Source organism: Homo sapiens, chromosome 18 (assembly GCF_000001405.40).
Source record: "Homo sapiens chromosome 18, GRCh38.p14 Primary Assembly".
NCBI lineage: Eukaryota > Metazoa > Chordata > Mammalia > Primates > Hominidae > Homo > Homo sapiens.
In genome coordinates this window covers 715,057-733,921 of record NC_000018.10, presented here as the reverse complement: position 1 = coordinate 733,921, position 18,865 = coordinate 715,057, and the positions used below count along the sequence as shown (strand labels likewise).

Here is an 18,865-nt window from a genome sequence, read left to right as displayed (position 1 = left end):
AGAACTCTGTTTTAAAACACTATCTACAAACACATATAAATAACTTAAAGAATGTAAGACACCTATAATATTATTTCTGCAATAAGTTTATAAACTTCATGAAAGCCATGCTTTTTTTTTTTTTTTTTTTTTTTTTTTTGAGACGGAGTCTCACTCTGTTGCCCAGGCTGGAGTGCAGTGGCGCAATCTCAGCTCACTGCAAGCTCCGCCTCCTGGGTTCACACCATTCTCCTGCCTCAGCCTCCCGAGTAGCTGGGACTACAGGCTCCTGCCACCTCGCCCAGCTAATTTTTTGTATTTTTGGTAGAGACGGGGTTTCACCATGTTAGCCAGGATGGTCTCAATCTCCTGACCTCATGATCCACTCACCTCGGCCTCCCAAAATGCTGGGATTACAGGCTTGAGCCACCGCGCCCGGCCGAAAGCCATGCTTTTTAGGTTTCCATAGTGATTAGCATAATGCCCTCCACAAAAAAGATATACAGTAAGTATTTGAGTTAATTAACATGGACTTTTAAAAGTAGTACAATAAAATTTTCCAGAATGATATAAAAAGTAGGAAAACCCATAAACATTATAACTCAATAGAATATTCACTCATCAACCAATAGTTAACTACAGCTATTAGGTGCCAGACTGTACTTAAAAGTTACACATATTATAACATGTATCTTTGGCTTACTAGAGCTTCAACCTCTATTTTCTTAAATTGTTTTCTGTTCCCACAGCCAACTTATTTTTTATATCATCAGCTGTCTAATCAGGAAGAAATGTGATTTATTTCAATATGAATTTTAAAAATTAAAGAATTTTTATCCCATGTATCTTGTACATTTAAAGAATTGACACTGATGACTACAGTAGAGATATTGACAGAACATTAGCCCTGCATATGCTATGTTTACACAAATAGATTTTTAAAAAACAATTAAGCAAGATGGTCAACATTATTTTAGGTGCAAAATTTCCAATCAAATGGACAGCTCCTGAAGCTGCACTGTATGGTCGGTTTACAATAAAGTCTGATGTCTGGTCATTTGGAATTCTGCAAACAGAACTAGTAACAAAGGGCCGAGTGCCATATCCAGGTAAGCTTGCATTTTATAGCTCTTGGTTATCTCATGAGTGGCTTTATCAGGAGTTTATTAGGAACAGAATTGTAAGCGGGGAAAAGGCCTTTATTTCTTCTCATAGTCCCCCTGCCTCTCCCTCTCCCCACTCCTTCCCTTTACTGTGGCATTGGATGGGTAACTGTGGCATTGGACGGGTAAGTCAGTGAAAGCCACGATCCTTGACAGGGTGAGCACATGAGATAGGCCCCACATTCACCTCAGCTTTCTCAGGACATTTTCCAAAGGGGCCTCTTACTGTTCTCTCAGATAATAAACATATCTTAAATATCCTGGCTCATCCACCCTATACCCTAAATAACTGTTCTTTCCCAGTAGTGTGATTGGTGTTTTGTTTTTTTTTTTTTTTTTTTTTTAAACACAGTCTTGCTCTGTCACCCAGGCTGGAGTGCAGTGGTACAGTCTGGCTCACTGCAACCTGTCTCCCGGGTTCAAGCAATTCTCCTGCCTCAGCCTCCCAAGTAGCTGGGATTACAGGCACCCACCACCACACCCAGCTAATTTTTTGTATTTTTAGTAGAGATGGGGTTTTGCCATGTTGGCTAAGCTGGTCTCGAACTCCTGACCTCAGGTGATCCACCTGCCTAGGCCTCCCAAAGTGCTGGGATTACAGGCGTGAGCCACCGTGCCCATCATGGTATATTTTTTTAAATATGTACTTGCCTTGTTTTCTTCAGTAGATTATTTTGAGATTCTTTTCTTGTTTTATTTCTCTAACCTATTTATAAACCAGCACTTTAATAAATATATCTGCCATTAATAAAGAGGAAAAATGAAAGTGTTTCCCTTTCAAAATTAAGAGACTTTTTTTTTTTTTTTTTTTTTGAAATGGAGTCTCGCTCTGTCGCCCAGGCTGGAGTGCAGTGGCACGATCTCAGCTCACTGCAGCCTCCACCTCCCAGCTTCACGCCATTCTCCTGCCTCAGCCTCCCGAGTAGCTAGGACTATAGGCACCCGCCACCACGCCCAGCTAATTTTTTGTATTTTTAGTAGAGACGGGGTTTCACCGTGTTAACCAGGATGGTCTCGATCTCCTGACCTTGTGATCTGCCCGCCTCGGCCTCCCAGAATGCTGGGATTACAGGCGTGAGCCACCGTGCCTGGCCTCAAAATTAAGAGATTTATATAGTTTCTAGGGGGAAGGAGAAATTTTAGCTCACTTGAAATTCAGCGATCAGTATTACTTTAGTTTGTTACTTCTAAACTCTTGTACTGAAGTATCCTAATGTTGAGAGTGAAAGCATATAAAATTTAATCTTTAGGAAAAACTGTTTTGCTAATCTTATGGGTTTTGCATGTTATCTAACATATTCCTCTTCCCTACAGTTCCCTCCAGCTGTAGATCTAATGCCATCAAATTTTATCACCCACTTTGTCTGGTTGCTGTTATTCACTGATACCATTCAAGTTATTCTCATTTAATGACTCACCATTGTCCTCTCCAACAAAACTCCTCTCCTGTCTTAACTCATTGTCATCTTAATACACATGGTGATGATTCTTCTATTACCCTGGTCTCTTGTAGCTTGAACTCTTCTCCTGTGTAATCTTGTCTTTCACTCTACCTTAGCCAGTCTTTCCATCTTCATACCTTAAACCTTAATGTTACCAATAACTGCAACCCTTTCAAAATCTATTTCATGCATCTACTTTCTGACCACCACTTGCCATCTTTCCAGATAACTCCCTCCACCCCAACCCTAGCAATTTCTTGATGCTACCAGGATCTTTACTCCACTGTTTCTGCCACCTTTTCCTGCTTCTCACCCCCTTCATGAAACAATTCTACTCCTTAAATTCCCTAGTGAAGCAGTATAATCACTCCTTTGCTGATTTCACCCTTCTCTGATTTCATCATCATTGCTTAGCAAAATCACCACATTAAATAAATCCAACTCTGCCTACACCACACTTGCAGACAGGGCTAGAAAAAAACCACACAGCCATGCAACATAGTGTCACTTTAAATGTATAACCATGAGGAACTTTCAGTTTTAGCTATGATGGAGAGGCTAATATCCAACTTATTATAGCACTGTAAACAACTACAAAAGTTAAATAAAATATGTAAAAGAACTGATAGGACATTGCATCAAGGAAGCCCATTTATATTGGCTTTTCTGAAGGCATTTTCTAAAATAGCACAGGGCAGTAAAACCCAGACAGAAAGCATAAGTCTTATTAAGCAAATGAGGCAGAGATCCTAGTGCTGGGATCTGAAGGACAGGGTCCCAGAGAAGGAACCATAGGGAAAGAACTCTAAAATTCTGCTTTAAAATTCCAGTTGGGCGTGGTGACTCACTCCTATAATCCCAGCACTTTGGGAGGCTAAGGTGGGTGGATCGCTTGAGCCCAGGAATTTGAAGCTGCAGTGAGCTATGATTGCGCCACTGCACTCCAGCCTGGGCAACAGAGCAAGACCCTGTCTCAAAAAAAAAAAAAAAAAAATCCTCTTGGGTCCTTGGTCAGTTCTAATCTGCACATACACAGGGAGAGTCTCTGGGAGACCTAACAGAAAATAGCCACTAGGAGGCTGGGGAGTCGAGCAGAGTTCAGAGGCTACAGAGTGCTGAGGAGTTCTTGCCCAGCCAAACTGGATAGATGTTGGAGAATACGCTAGGCTTTTTGTTGAGACCCCAGAAAGTCCATACCCTAGGAGAAAGGGCAAAACTGAGCAAAACTAAGCCCTAACAACTAGGTGATCTGCTGGTAAATTCCAAATGGAATTAAACTGAACATCCTTCAGAAAAAGATAACATGATCCAGATAATCTACAGTGTATGATTCAAAATGTCTAGCACAAAATAAAAAGTTACTAGATATATGAAGAAGGGAAGAGATGACTGATTATCAAGAGTTCAAAATCTGGCTGGGCGCTGTGGCTCACGCCTGTAATCCCAACACATTGGGAAGCCAAGGCGGGTGGATCACAAGGTCAGGAGTTTGAGACCAGCCTGGCCAAGATGGTAAAACCCCATCTCTGCTAAAAATACAAAAATTAGCCAGCCATGGTGGCGGGCGCCTGTAATCCCAGCTACTCGGGAGGCTGAGGCAGGAGAATCGCTTGAACCCAGGAGGTGGAGGTTGCAGTGAGCTGAGATTGCGCCGCTGCACTCTGGCCTGGGTGACAGAGCGAGACTCTGTCTCAAAAAAAAAAAAAAAAAAAAAAAAAGTTCAAAATCAATAGGAGCAGACTCTGAGATAATCCAAATCTTGGAGTTAGCAAAAGACTTCAAAATAGCAATATATGGAATGTTAAAATAGAAGAAAAGTTTTGCAAAATAATGAAAAACTGGAGAATTTGAGCAGAATTGGAATCTATTAAAAAAAAAAGAATCAAATGGAAATTGTATTTATTTATTTATTTATTTTCTTTTGGGACAGAGTCTCGCTCTGTCTCCCAGGCTGGAGTACAGTGGCACGATCTTGGTTCACTGCAGCCTCCGCCTCCCAGGTTCCAGCGATTCTCCTGCCTCAGCCTCCCAAGTAGCTGAGATTACAGGCGTGAGCCACCCCGCCTGGCCCTCAAATGGAAATTTTAGAACTGTAAAACATTATATCAAATTAAGTACTCACTAGATGGGCATAATAGAAGACAAGATTAGTGGATTCAGACACATTAACAAAGTATCCAAGGTAATGCATAGATAAAAGCTAATGGGGAAGAAAGCAGAACAGAATGTATGAAACCAGTGGGGCATAGTGAAAAGGTCTAATTTGTGGAGTCCCAGAAGCAGAAGAGAGAAAAAAATGAAACAGTAACAACATTTTTAAAAAGTAATGGCTAAAAATCTTCTAAATATGATAAAACAAAATACTAGCCCACAGATTAAGTGAACCTCAAACAAGAAAATTAAACTCAGTGAAATTCAAGCAAACATATCATGGTCAAATTACAAAAATCAAAGCCAAACAGCCATAAGGAGGTGGTGCAGATTGAGCATTCCTAATTCAAAAATCCGAAATGCAGCTGGGCGCAGTGGCTCAGGCCTGTAATCCCAGTACTTTGGGAGGTCGAGGCCAGTGGATCACGAGGTCAGGGGTTTGAGACCATCCTGGCCAATGTAGTGAAACCCCATCTCTACTAAAAATACAAAAATTAGCTGGGCATGGTGGCACACACCTGTAGTACCAGCTACTTGGAGGCTGAGGCAGGAGAATCACTTGAACCTGGGAGGCAGAGGTTGCAATGAGCCAAGATTGCACTACTGCACTCCAGCTTGGGCAACAGAGCAAGACTTCATCTCAAAGAGAAAAAAAACCGAAATGCTCCAAAATCCAAAACTTTTTGAGCATTGACATAACAACACAAATGGAAAATTCCACACCCGTCCTCATGTGACAGGTCACAGTCAAAATACCATCAAAATTTTGTTTTGTGCAGAAAATTATTTTTAAAATTATGTAAAATTACCTTCAGGCTATATGTATAAGGTGTATATGAAACATAAATGAATTTTTTTTTTTTTGAGACAGGGTCTCTGTCACCCAGGCTGGAGTGCAGTGGCACAATCAGGGCTCACTGCAGCCTCTACCTCCCTGGGCTCAGGTGATCCTCCCACCTCAGCCTCCCAAGTAGCTGAGACCACAGGTGTGTGCCATCCACCTAGCTAATTTTTGTAGAGACAGGGTCTCACCATGTTGCCCAGGATGGTCTCAAAATCCTAGGCTCAAGCGATTTGCCTGCCCTGTCCTCCCAAAGTGCCGGGATTACAGGTGCGAGCCACCGTGCCTGGCTCATAAATGTATTTTGTGTTTAGACTTGGGTCCCATCCCTTAAGATATCTCATTATGTATATGCAAATATTCCAAAATCCAAAAAAATCCAAAATCGGAAACACTTCTGGTCCCAAACATTTCAGATAAGGGATACTCAGCCTATATATTATCTACGCAGGAACAACAGTCAGACAGCTAACTTTTCCTCAGATATGGAAGCCAGGGAAGAGTGAAATTATGCCTTTAAAGTGCTTTGGGGAAAACTGCTGATCTAAAACACCAACAATAAAAAATCTTACCGAATTTATAATGTATATAAAAATAGACTGTGACAGTAACACAAAGGGTAGAGGGGGTCAGGGAATAAGAGGTAAACCGTTCTAAGTTTGGAACAGGTAAAAGTACTTATTTTGAGTAACATACAATAAACCAAGGAAGCATATTGTAGTCTCAATGATAACTACTAAAATAACAAGAGAAGACAAAAAGCCAACAGAGGAGAGAAAAAATTGAACATTGAAAAATGCTTGTTTAATCAAATTAAAAAGCAAGAGAGGAGAAACGAACAGATGGAACAAAGATCAGGATGGTAGAATTAAACCCAACTACATCCATAATTAAATGACATTTAGGTACACTAAACATTCCAATAAAAAAAGATAAGACTGGATTTTAAACACATACACAAATACTATAATGGTATTTATAAGATACATACTTTAAGGTATTTTAGGAGACTGAAATTAAAAGGATGGAAAAGTTATACTCTGCAAATCCTAACTGAAGAAAGCCTAGATAGCAGTAGACTTTAAGGCAAGAAATAGTACTAGGGACAAAAAGGGACGTTTCATAATAATAAAAGGGTCAGTTCAACAGGGAAACAAAAATCCAAAATGAGCTATGTAACTACATAGCTTCAAAATGCATAAAAATTTATATGATCAGGATATTCTAGTTAATTATTCAGATGATAATCAGAATATAAACGATTTGTAGATTACCCATCTTTAAAGAAGAAAAAGAGATACTTTATCATTCATTGTCTTTCTTTGACGATTTTAAGAGGATTTGGAAAGAACTTTCCACATGTAGCGTGGACCGATCCATTGCCTACTGTTCTTACAGCAGATTGTCCATTTCAAAGCAACAGCGCCTGTTTACTCATCTTATTTGGGGATAGTAATAAACCTTGGTAAATGCTAACAGGTATGAAATCCTTACATTTATTGACAGTATGCTAAGTATTTACCATGTGAATTTTTTTTTTTTTTTTTTTTTTTTTTTTTTTTTTGAGACAAGAGTCTTGCTTTGTCACCCAGGCTGGAGTGCAGTGGTGCAATCTCTGCTCACTGCAACCTCCGCCTCCCAGGTTCAAGTGATTCTCCTGCCTCAGCCTCCCGAGTAGCTGGGATTACAGGTGTGTGCCCACCATGCCCAGTTAGTTTTTATATTTTTAGTAGAGAGGGGGTTTCGCCATGTTGGCCAGGCTGGTCTCAAACTCCTGACCTCAGGTGATCCGCCCACTCAGCCTCCCAAAGTGCTGGGATTACAGATGTGAACCACCATGCCCAGCTGGCATCAAATAATTTAATAGTTCTAATTATCAGAAAATTCTGAAGAGTGAAGTTGTTTTTGTTTTTGTGTTTTTGAGATGGAGTCCCACTCTGTCACCCAGGCTGGAGTGCAGTGGTGCGATCTCAGCTCACTGCAACCTCCACCTCCCAGGTTCAAGCGATTCTCCTGCCTCAGCCTCCCAAGTAGCTGGGACTACAGATGCCCACCACCACGCCCAGCTAATTTTTTGTATTTTTAGTAGAGACGGGGCTTCACCATGTTGGCCAGGATGGTCTCAATCTCTTGACCTCGTGATCTGCCTGCCTCGGCCTCCCAAAGTGCTGGGATTACAGGCATGAGCCACCGCACCCGGCCTTTGAGTGAAGTTTTGAATGAAAGCTTATTGGTAATTAGAAGTTATTTTCATAGGTTCCGGCTTATTTGGATTGCTTAATCCTAACAGTCAATTAAAATAATAAGCATAAAATAAAAGAACACAGAATGGAAAAGAAGTTCAATTATAGTAAGCCCTCACTGAATATTAATTCCCTTACTCCTTTTCTCCTTCACCCAACAACTTCTAGTTGTATTTCCACTGTTAGTAAAATGTACTGGATTTCACTTCCCCACCCCGCGAGATGGAGTCTCGCTCTGTCACCCAGGCTGGAGTGCTATGGCGCAATCTCGGCTCACTGCAACCTCCGCCTCCCGTTCAAGTGATTCTCCCACCTCAGCTTCCCAAGTAGCTGGGATTACAGGCACCTGCCATCATGCCTGGCTCATTTTTGTAGTTTGTAGAGTCGTGGTTTCACCATGTTGGCAAGGCTGGTCTTGAACTCCTGACCTCAGATGATCACCCGCCTTGGCCTCCCAAAGCGCCAGGATTACAGACGAGAGCCACTGTGCCCGGCCAGATTTCACTTATGAAGATGACAGTACCTAGTTAGATGAAAAGCTCAGAAAACTTCCTTTTAAGTATTGAGTTTCAAAGTAATGTCATGTAGAGTTTTTTTTAATAGTTTAAAAAATGTATTTTGAGAAATCACTTATTCCTCAAAAAAATAACTAAAAATCTAAATAGTAATGATTTAACCCCATTACATTTTCTTTAGAGAATCATAGACTATTTTAAATATCATTCCTGATTGGTTGATAAAGTTTCCAAGAGATACAAGGGATGGCCTGACTTGCAGGCAGGGAAGGAAGGTGATGCGGGAGATAGGACGTGAGGTGAGGTTGCTGGCTTAGTGAGACACTATCAGGAAGAATTTGGAAAAGGAGGCATTTTGCTGTCCTGTGATAAGATGGGGTGAACTGCTGATCAGGGGGTTGAGGAAGGGGGGATTACAAAGGAATACAAGAAAGGAACTATGTGTAATATCTTGAAGAAAGTCAAACAGGTAATATTAGATAAGGAAACTTTCACAGAAGTAATTCAATATAAAGTTATGTAGTTGGTATATTTGGCAAAACCAAGACTAGAACTTTCTTCTGAATTCCTGTTTTAAAGTTCTTTCAGACAGGATCTTGCCACCATTCCTCAGTAACCCAAGTTTGGTCATTGTTAAATGTTAATATTAGAAAGTACCAGTACCTCATAGTAGCACCCTAAATTCTTATTAATCAAATGGGGTTGGCTTTTGAAGACATTAGTATTAAAAATAAGATATAAGATGGAATGAAAAATTAGACATGTTAAAACATAGATTAGCATTTTCTAAGCTCTTCTTGATATTCTCATGTTTAAAATTTATTTTGTTGCTTTGTTAAAAGAATTGTTTCACTAAATAATATACTTTGAATGAGTTAGTGGCTAGGGGGTTTGTTATGTTTTCCTAGTGGTAGTTAGGACCATTGTTCTTTAATGTTTTAATCTTGTGTATTAGGTATGGTGAACCGTGAAGTATTAGAACAAGTGGAGCGAGGATACAGGATGCCGTGCCCTCAGGGCTGTCCAGAATCCCTCCATGAATTGATGAATCTGTGTTGGAAGAAGGACCCTGATGAAAGACCAACATTTGAATATATTCAGTCCTTCTTGGAAGACTACTTCACTGCTACAGAGCCACAGTACCAGCCAGGAGAAAATTTATAATTCAAGTAGCCTATTTTATATGCACAAATCTGCCAAAATATAAAGAACTTGTGTAGATTTTCTACAGGAATCAAAAGAAGAAAATCTTCTTTACTCTGCATGTTTTTAATGGTAAACTGGAATCCCAGATATGGTTGCACAAAACCACTTTTTTTTCCCCAAGTATTAAACTCTAATGTACCAATGATGAATTTATCAGCGTATTTCAGGGTCCAAACAAAATAGAGCTAAGATACTGATGACAGTGTGGGTGACAGCATGGTAATGAAGGACAGTGAGGCTCCTGCTTATTTATAAATCATTTCCTTTCTTTTTTTCCCCAAAGTCAGAATTGCTCAAAGAAAATTATTTATTGTTACAGATAAAACTTGAGAGATAAAAAGCTATACCATAATAAAATCTAAAATTAAGGAATATCATGGGACCAAATAATTCCATTCCAGTTTTTTAAAGTTTCTTGCATTTATTATTCTCAAAAGTTTTTTCTAAGTTAAACAGTCAGTATGCAATCTTAATATATGCTTTCTTTTGCATGGACATGGGCCAGGTTTTTCAAAAGGAATATAAACAGGATCTCAAACTTGATTAAATGTTAGACCACAGAAGTGGAATTTGAAAGTATAATGCAGTACATTAATATTCATGTTCATGGAACTGAAAGAATAAGAACTTTTTCACTTCAGTCCTTTTCTGAAGAGTTTGACTTAGAATAATGAAGGTAACTAGAAAGTGAGTTAATCTTGTATGAGGTTGCATTGATTTTTTAAGGCAATATATAATTGAAACTACTGTCCAATCAAAGGGGAAATGTTTTGATCTTTAGATAGCATGCAAAGTAAGACCCAGCATTTTAAAAGCCCTTTTTAAAAACTAGACTTCGTACTGTGAGTATTGCTTATATGTCCTTATGGGGATGGGTGCCACAAATAGAAAATATGACCAGATCAGGGACTTGAATGCACTTTTGCTCATGGTGAATATAGATGAACAGAGAGGAAAATGTATTTAAAAGAAATACGAGAAAAGAAAGTGAAAGTTTTACAAGTTAGAGGGATGGAAGGTAATGTTTAATGTTGATGTCATGGAGTGACAGAATGGCTTTGCTGGCACTCAGAGCTCCTCACTTAGCTATATTCTGAGACTTTGAAGAGTTATAAAGTATAACTATAAAACTAATTTTTCTTACACACTAAATGGGTATTTGTTCAAAATAATGAAGTTATGGCTTCACATTCATTGCAGTGGGATATGGTTTTTATGTAAAACATTTTTAGAACTCCAGTTTTCAAATCATGTTTGAATCTACATTCACTTTTTTTTGTTTTCTTTTTTGAGACGGAGTCTCGCTCTGTCGCCCAGGCTGGAGTGCAGTGGCGCGATCTCGGCTCACTGCAAGCTCTGCCTCCCAGGTTCACACCATTCTCCTGCCTCAGCCTCCCGAGTAGCTGGGACTACAGGTGCCCACCACCACGCCTGGCTAGTTTTTTGTATTTTTAGTAGAGACGCAGTTTCACCGTGTTAGCCAGGATAGTCTCGATCTCCTGACCTTGTGATCTGCCCGCCTCGGCCTCCCAAAGTGCTGGGATTACAGGCGTGAGCCACCGCGCCCAGCCTACATTCACTTCTAAAGTCTATGTAATGGTGGTCATTTTTTCCCTTTTAGAATACATTAAATGGTTGATTTGGGGAGGAAAACTTATTCTGAATATTAACGGTGGTGAAAAGGGGACAGTTTTTACCCTAAAGTGCAAAAGTGAAACATACAAAATAAGACTAATTTTTAAGAGTAACTCAGTAATTTCAAAATACAGATTTGAATAGCAGCATTAGTGGTTTGAGTGTCTAGCAAAGGAAAAATTGATGAATAAAATGAAGGTCTGGTGTATATGTTTTAAAATACTCTCATATAGTCACACTTTAAATTAAGCCTTATATTAGGCCCCTCTATTTTCAGGATATAATTCTTAACTATCATTATTTACCTGATTTTAATCATCAGATTCGAAATTCTGTGCCATGGCATATATGTTCAAATTCAAACCATTTTTAAAATGTGAAGATGGACTTCATGCAAGTTGGCAGTGGTTCTGGTACTAAAAATTGTGGTTGTTTTTTCTGTTTACGTAACCTGCTTAGTATTGACACTCTCTACCAAGAGGGTCTTCCTAAGAAGAGTGCTGTCATTATTTCCTCTTATCAACAACTTGTGACATGAGATTTTTTAAGGGCTTTATGTGAACTATGATATTGTAATTTTTCTAAGCATATTCAAAAGGGTGACAAAATTACGTTTATGTACTAAATCTAATCAGGAAAGTAAGGCAGGAAAAGTTGATGGTATTCATTAGGTTTTAACTGAATGGAGCAGTTCCTTATATAATAACAATTGTATAGTAGGGATAAAACACTAACTTAATGTGTATTCATTTTAAATTGTTCTGTATTTTTAAATTGCCAAGAAAAACAACTTTGTAAATTTGGAGATATTTTCCAACAGCTTTTCGTCTTCAGTGTCTTAATGTGGAAGTTAACCCTTACCAAAAAAGGAAGTTGGCAAAAACAGCCTTCTAGCACACTTTTTTAAATGAATAATGGTAGCCTAAACTTAATATTTTTATAAAGTATTGTAATATTGTTTTGTGGATAATTGAAATAAAAAGTTCTCATTGAATGCACCTATTAATCGTTTTAGTTGCTATTCATATTCTCATTCGTTTTTTAAAAACTGATATATTCTGAATTTATTCTTCCATTGAGAAAAAAATGTTCAGTTACTTGTAACTACTGAGCAGAATTTAATCAATCCTTTATTAAATTCAGAACATTATTGAACTCATTCTTTGTGGTCAATTTTCTTTTTTTTTTGTTTTGTTTTGTTTTTTTTTTGAGACGGAGTCTCGCTCTGTCGCCCAGGCTGGAGTGCAGTGGCGCGATCTTGGCTCACTGCAAGCTCCGCCTCCCGGGGTCACGCCATTCTCCTGCCTCGGCCACCCGAGTAGCTGGGACTACAGGCGCCTGCTACCACGCCCGGCTAATTTTTTGTATTTTTTAGTAGAGACGGGGTTTCACCATGTTAGCCAGGATGGTCTCGATCTCCTGACCTCGTGATCCGTCCGCTTCGGCCTCCCAAAGTGCTGGGATTACAGGCGTGAGCCACCGCGCCCGGCCTGTGGTCAATTTTCTATGTCAAGTGAGTGACATTATTTTTACAAGTATTTTCTTCTTCTTAAAATTATACCAGCAAATACAGTTAATGCAGAAACCTAAGTAATTTGAGTGTAGCTATTCACAATCTATGTGAAGAATATAAAATAGAATGACCAGTTTTATTATAAATTAAGGGGCTTAATTTTCTAAAAAAGAAAAAAAATGAGCCTTATCTCTGTGTTTTATAATTATTATATAGGATAATGAAAATAAAATTGTCTAATACTAAATTTTGAATGGTCATTCAAAAGCATTTATTTTCAATAAGTTAATTACAAAATTATTAGCTTTTTCTCTGATTTCTAAAACACTTCATTTAGTAAACATTTATTTTTGTAGTATAGCAATAGTTCCTCAATTTAAGAATGTTTTTCTAGTTTCCTGTTTGCCTTTTAATTTTCCATATAATTTCTGACATGTAAGTTGTACATTTGTAGATTGTCAAATCTGTTCATTCCTTTTTTATGTTTAGAAGTCTTCATCCACCCCAAGATTAATATTCATCTATCTATATTATAGTTTATGCTTCTGTGTGTGTGTGACAGGATCTTGCTCTGTTGCCCAGGTTGAAGTGCAGTGGCACCATCATGGCTCACTGCAGCCTCGACCTCCCAGGCTCAAGCAATCCTCCCACCTCAGCCTCCCAAGTAGCTGGGAGTACAGGTACGAGCCACCTTGCCTGGCTAACTTTTGATATTTTGTAGAGACAGGGTTTTGCCATGTTGCTTAGGCTGGTCTCAGAACTCCTGAGCTCAAGTGATCCGCCTGCCTCAGCCTCCCAAAGTGCTGGAATTACAGGCATAAGCCACTGCGCCCAGCTCTATAGGTTGTGCTTTTTAAAAAGCATTTTAGGCCGGGCACGGTGGCTCATGCCTGTAATCCCAGCACTTTGGGAGGCCGAGGCGGGTGGATCACGAGGTCAGGAGATCAAGACCATCCTGGTTAACATGGTGAAACCCCATCTCTACTAAAAATACAAAAAATTAGCTGGGCGTGGTGGCTGGCGCCTGTTGTCTCAGCTACTACGGAGGCTGAGGCAGGAGAATGATGTGAACCCGGGAGGCGGAGCTTGTAGTGAGCCAAGATCGTGCCACTGCACTCCAGCCTGGGGACACAGCGAGACTCCGTCTCAAAAAAAAAAAAAAAGCATTTTAATTGATTTGGAAGTTGAGTATAAAATGTGACTTAAGGGCCAGGTATAGTGCCTGTAATCTCAGCACTTTGGGAGGCCGAGGCCAGTGGATCACTTGAGGCCAGGAGTTCGAGACTAGCCTGGCCGACATAATGAAACACCATCTCTACTAAAAATACAAAAATTAGCCAGGCATGGTGGTGCGTGCCAGTAGTCCCAGCTACTCGGGAGGCTGAGGCACAAGAATCGCTTGAACCCAGGAGGCAGAGGTTGCAGTGAGCCAAGATTGCACCATTGCACTCCACCCTGGGCGACAGAGCGAGACTGTCTCAAAAAAAAAAAAAAAGTGACTTAAGAGTCTAGCATGATTTTTTTTCCCATATAGGTAATTTTCTCAGCATCAATTATTCATTCATTCCCATTGGTCCATTGGTTTAGGTTCCTTCCTTTATTATACATATACTGTTTTGCCCAAGTATTTCTTTCATCAAAGCATTTTAACTGCTGTCACTTGATAATGCACTTTAATAATACAGCAAGTTCCCTTTGCTATGCCTTTTCTTAAAATTTTAGTGTCCTGACAAATTCTTGATTAACTGTAGCCTTTATTTTTCATATTCCTATAAAATACGTGAGATTTTGGTTGGGATAGCATTATGCCTATAAACTAATTTGGTAAAAATTTGCATCTTCCATCAGGTTTCTCATCCCATTTGTGCAAGTCTTCATTTAGATCAAGTTCTTCTCTAAGCTTTCTGTGTGGAGTTGGAAGATGAGTCTCATCTTGTGTCTGATTACACTGCTCAAAGGGTGCCATTCCAGTGCTTCTGGAGACCAGATTCCCATTTTGGTACAAAAGAAACCAACATGCAGAGTTGAAAAACTGCCCCAGTAGCATTTATTTCCCTAAAATCAGCTCCTCCCTGTCCTTCAGTATCTCCTTTTTTTTTTTTGTTTAAACTACATCAAGTTGAGTTTTTGCCACTGGTGACCATAGTCCTGATTAATTTTCAAATTGTTAAGAGGGAAAGGAATACTTTCTGATTAAAATAAGCAGTCTGTGCCCAATGTCATCTGCTTGCCCTCCACATCCAGACTGTGCCTGCTCCTTCTGGAAGGCTGACTTGTACTTACAGGGGGCTCCCTTGCTCTCTCGATTCCCCCCGGCTCCCTCCTTGAGACTCTGGGCTGGCTATGTCCTTCAGTCAACCGGACGTTCTCAATATGGCCTCCCTAATACACCTCCTTTTGGAGACTGGTAGCAGCTTCCATTCCATATGTTTTCTGCCTCAGGGGTGATGACAGTTTTGCTGCTACTAATACTGCATTAATCCTTGTGGTTCCTAACCTGCCCACCTCTTTGTAAATAAATATCCTTGATTTGCTTTTTTTTTTTTTTTTTTTTTTTTTACAGACAGGATCTCTCTCACGCTGTCGCCCAGGTTGGGGTGCAGTGGCACGATCATAGCTCACTGCAGTCTCGAACTCACGGGCTCAAGGGATCCTCCCACCTCGGCTTCCCAAGTAGCTAGGAGTACAGCACAGGCCACCATGCCCAGCAAATTTTGTATTTTTGCTAGAGATGAGGTCTTGCTATGCTGCCTATGCAGGTCTCAAACTCCTAGGCTCAGGCAATCTTTCCACCTTGGCTTCTCAAAGTGCTGGAATTACCAAGTGTGAGCCACTGCACGGCCTCTTGATTTATCTTAATTTGAGCATGCCATCTGCTTCCAGTTGAGACCCTGACTGATACTCATTATACCAACAGCTGTATCAGTAGAAAATACGAAACTCAAATTATCACATAAAAGTGACAGTTTATACAAAACATTTTCAGTGCTGTGTATACAAAACTTCAGCAATATATGCAACATTGTATTAAATGTAAAGTTACAAGACTATTAACTGTGGAGAGAGCATACCAAATCTTGGAAATATTGAAAACTCCAATTTTTTTTTTCCCCAGAGTTTCGTTCTGTCGCCCAGGCTGGAGTGCAGCAGTGTGATCTTGGCTCACTACAACCTCTGCCTCCCAGGTTATAGCAATTCTTGTGCCTCAATCTCCCAAGTAGCTTGAATTACAGGCGTGTGCCACCATGCCCGGCTAATTTTTGTATTTTTAATTGAGAGGGTTTTGCCATGTTGGCCAGGCTGCTCTCGAACTACTAACCTCAGGTGATTCGTCCACCTCAGCCTCCCAAAATGCTGGGATTACAGGCGTGAGCCACCACAACCGCCCCAAAACGAATCTTTTTTAAAAGAGTTTTTCAATGTCTATTTTTCCAATATTAGAAAACCATTTGTTGCAAAACTGTTGGACAGAATGTTCAATTAGCTGTTTTACTGCAATTCAATAATAATTTATGAGTTGAATTTTAAAATGTATAGGAAGGAGGCTGGGTGCAGTGGCTCATGCCTGTAATCCCAACACTTTGGGAGCCTGGTCTGGAGGATCGCTTGAGCCCAGGAGTTCAAGATAAGCCTGGGCAGCAAGACGAAACCCCATCTGTACAAAAATTAGCTGGGCATGGTGGTGCGTACCTGTGGTCCCAACTACTAAGGAGGCTGAGGTGGGATAACTGTTTGAGTCCAGGAGGTAGAAACTGCAGTGAACTGTGATTGCACCACTGCACTCCAATCTGGGTGACAGAATGAGACCCTGTCTCAAAAAAAAAAAAAAAAATTAGAAATAAGACTTAGTAAAACAATAAAAGCTAAATAGATAATATGTGAAATTTATCCAGTAGCAGGAATGGTCCCTGGGACCTTTAAGAAGCAGATGGCGGTATTCAATTTTAAGTTGCTTGCAGAGTCCTTGCTACCCCAAACCTTCCTGCAAATCAGCTACACATAACAGTGAGTCAGTGACCTTTAGGAAAGAAAAGGGATTGGGGTCACGGCCAGAGGTACAATGACAAGGTACAAAAAAGGATAGGGATGGATTTCATAACCTAGTTTAAACGCAGTGGGGAAATAAATTCAGGAAATAAATCAGGTAAGTAGGAGAAAAGTTCACCAAGTACTTCCAGAGATACTTGGAGAGACACTGGATTTCACAGGGACATGGCGTAGGGGTTCAATCCAGCTTCACTTCTATCTTAAAGGTCAAGTTAACGAGTAAGTTGGAGGACTTTGAAAATCCAAGTAAAAAATTGTCACTAGCCTGTGACAATAGGGATGAGAGAAATAAAAACTTCGCAGTTGGCCAAAAAGGTTGACAGTGATTCTAATAACTGAATTAAAGTGGTGTGGCCCTTAAAGTTTATCAAATTCCATTTATTCACTCATAATTGCACTATTTTCATGGAAAGTCTTAGTCTCCTAAAACATTGAGAGGATATACCATGGAACTAGATGGCAAACTTGGTTTGGTTGGTTTTTGTAATCTTTACCATTGCTAGAAAGTTAGAAAAGGGTGGCTTCACTTCAGCAGAAATTTTGAAAAATTCGTGGAACCAGAAGAAACCCAATCTAAAAGAAATACAAGAGAACATTTTCGCAGAGTTTTAAGTGCAATTTCAAAGAAAATTCAAACTTAGAATCAAATTCAAAGAGGAGGCAGCACCCCAAAGCAACATTTTTTGTTTTATTGAGGTATAATTTACATACAACAAAGCTCACCATTTTAAGTGTACCACTAGATGAGTTGTTGACAAATGTAGACAGCCATGAAACCACCATGAAACCAGAATCATAGAACATTTCCATCATTTCAGAAAATTCCATTATGCCCTTTTACAGTCAATCTCTTCCATTCACCCCTGACCTCTGTCAACCACTGAGTGTTTTCTGTCACTATAATTGTACATTTCTAGGGCTTTATATAAATGGAATCATATGTAGTCACTGTGTCTGATGTCTTTCGTTTAGCATAATGCTTTTGAGATCTTTTTATGGCTCAGTAATATTCCATTGTGTGGATGTGTACTACATCTTGGTTTTGTCCTTTACCAATTGATGGATGTTTAGGTTGTTACTAGTTTTAGGCTATCACAAATAAAGCTGCTATGAACATTCAAATACAAGTTTTTATTTTAAACATAGGTTTTAAATTCTCTTGGATAATTACCTATGAGTAGGATTACTGAGTTGTATGATACATGAATGCTTAACTTTCTAAGAAACTGATAACCTATTTTCCAAAGAAGCTGTACCCTTTCATACCCCTCCAGCAATGTATGAGAGTTCCAGCTGCTTCACATCCTTGCCAATACTTGGTATTGCCAGTCACTTTAATTGCAGCCATCCTGGTGCGTGTTAGTAGTACATCATTGTGGTTTTAGTGTGCATTTCCCTAATGACTAATAATGTTGAGTCTTTTCATAAGCTTATTTCAAATTCATATGTCTGCTTAGGTGGAATGTCTATTAAAAAGTCTTTTGCCCATTTTTTATATCAAGTTGCCATCTTACTGAGTTGTAATTTTTTCAGTATTCTGCATACAAGTCCTTTTAACAGATATGTTTTGCAAATATTTTTCTTCCAATCTGCAGCTTGCATTTTCATTTCTTTAATGGTTTTCATAAAAGAGAAAACATTTTTAATGTTGATAATTTAATTGGCAATGTTTTTCTTTTATGATTCATGCTTTTAGTGTCCTAAGAAAGTTTGCTTTATCCAAGTACAAAAAGATTTTCTCCTGTGTTTTCTTTAGAAGTTTTGTAATTCTAGCTCTTAAAATTTAGATCTATATTCCACTTCGAGATGATTTTTGTGTATGATATAAGGTAATGATCCAGGATTGTTCTGTTTGTTCTTATGGATATTCAATTGTTCGAGCACCAGTTGTTGGAAAGATTAGCTTACTCGTTGAATTTTCTTGGCCCCTGTTTTTTTTTGTTGTTTTTATTTTGTAGACGGAGTCTCGCTTTGTCGCCCAGCCTGGAGGGCAGTGGCGCGATCTCAGCTCACCGCAACCTCCGCCTCCCGGGTTCAAATGATTCTCCTGCCTCAGCCTCCCGAGTAGCTGGGACTACAGGCGCGTGCTACCACGCCTGGCTAATTTTTTGTATTTTTACTATTTCAAGA

At 39.5% G+C, this 18,865-nt stretch overlaps 1 protein-coding gene across 10 annotated transcripts in view, besides 1 other annotated feature; it reads left to right on the top strand.

The window, feature by feature from the left end:
• YES1 (YES proto-oncogene 1, Src family tyrosine kinase) overlaps nucleotides 1-12,334 on the top strand; it is a 91,166-nt gene extending 78,832 nt beyond the window's left edge. For 6 of the 10 annotated variants that reach the window (XM_024451244.2, XM_024451246.2, XM_024451243.2 and 3 more), the window contains exons 11-12: nucleotides 957-1,088; nucleotides 9,290-12,334. In XM_024451244.2, the coding sequence (XP_024307012.1) occupies nucleotides 957-1,088; nucleotides 9,290-9,498 (341 nt within the window). In that variant the 3' untranslated portion in view covers nucleotides 9,499-12,334. The remainder of the gene's footprint in view (nucleotides 1-956; nucleotides 1,089-9,289) is intronic. The other 4 variants (XM_047437770.1, XM_047437771.1, XM_024451247.2 and 1 more) reach the window with 1 other exon arrangement.
• Nucleotides 17,999-18,293: a silencer, noted in NCBI's record as "tiled region #6782; HepG2 Repressive non-DNase unmatched - State 23:Low". NCBI's record gives its function as "represses a minimal TATA promoter and a strong SV40 promoter by Sharpr-MPRA in HepG2 cells {active_cell/tissue: HepG2}" and the evidence as "EXISTENCE:reporter gene assay evidence [ECO:0000049][PMID:27701403]".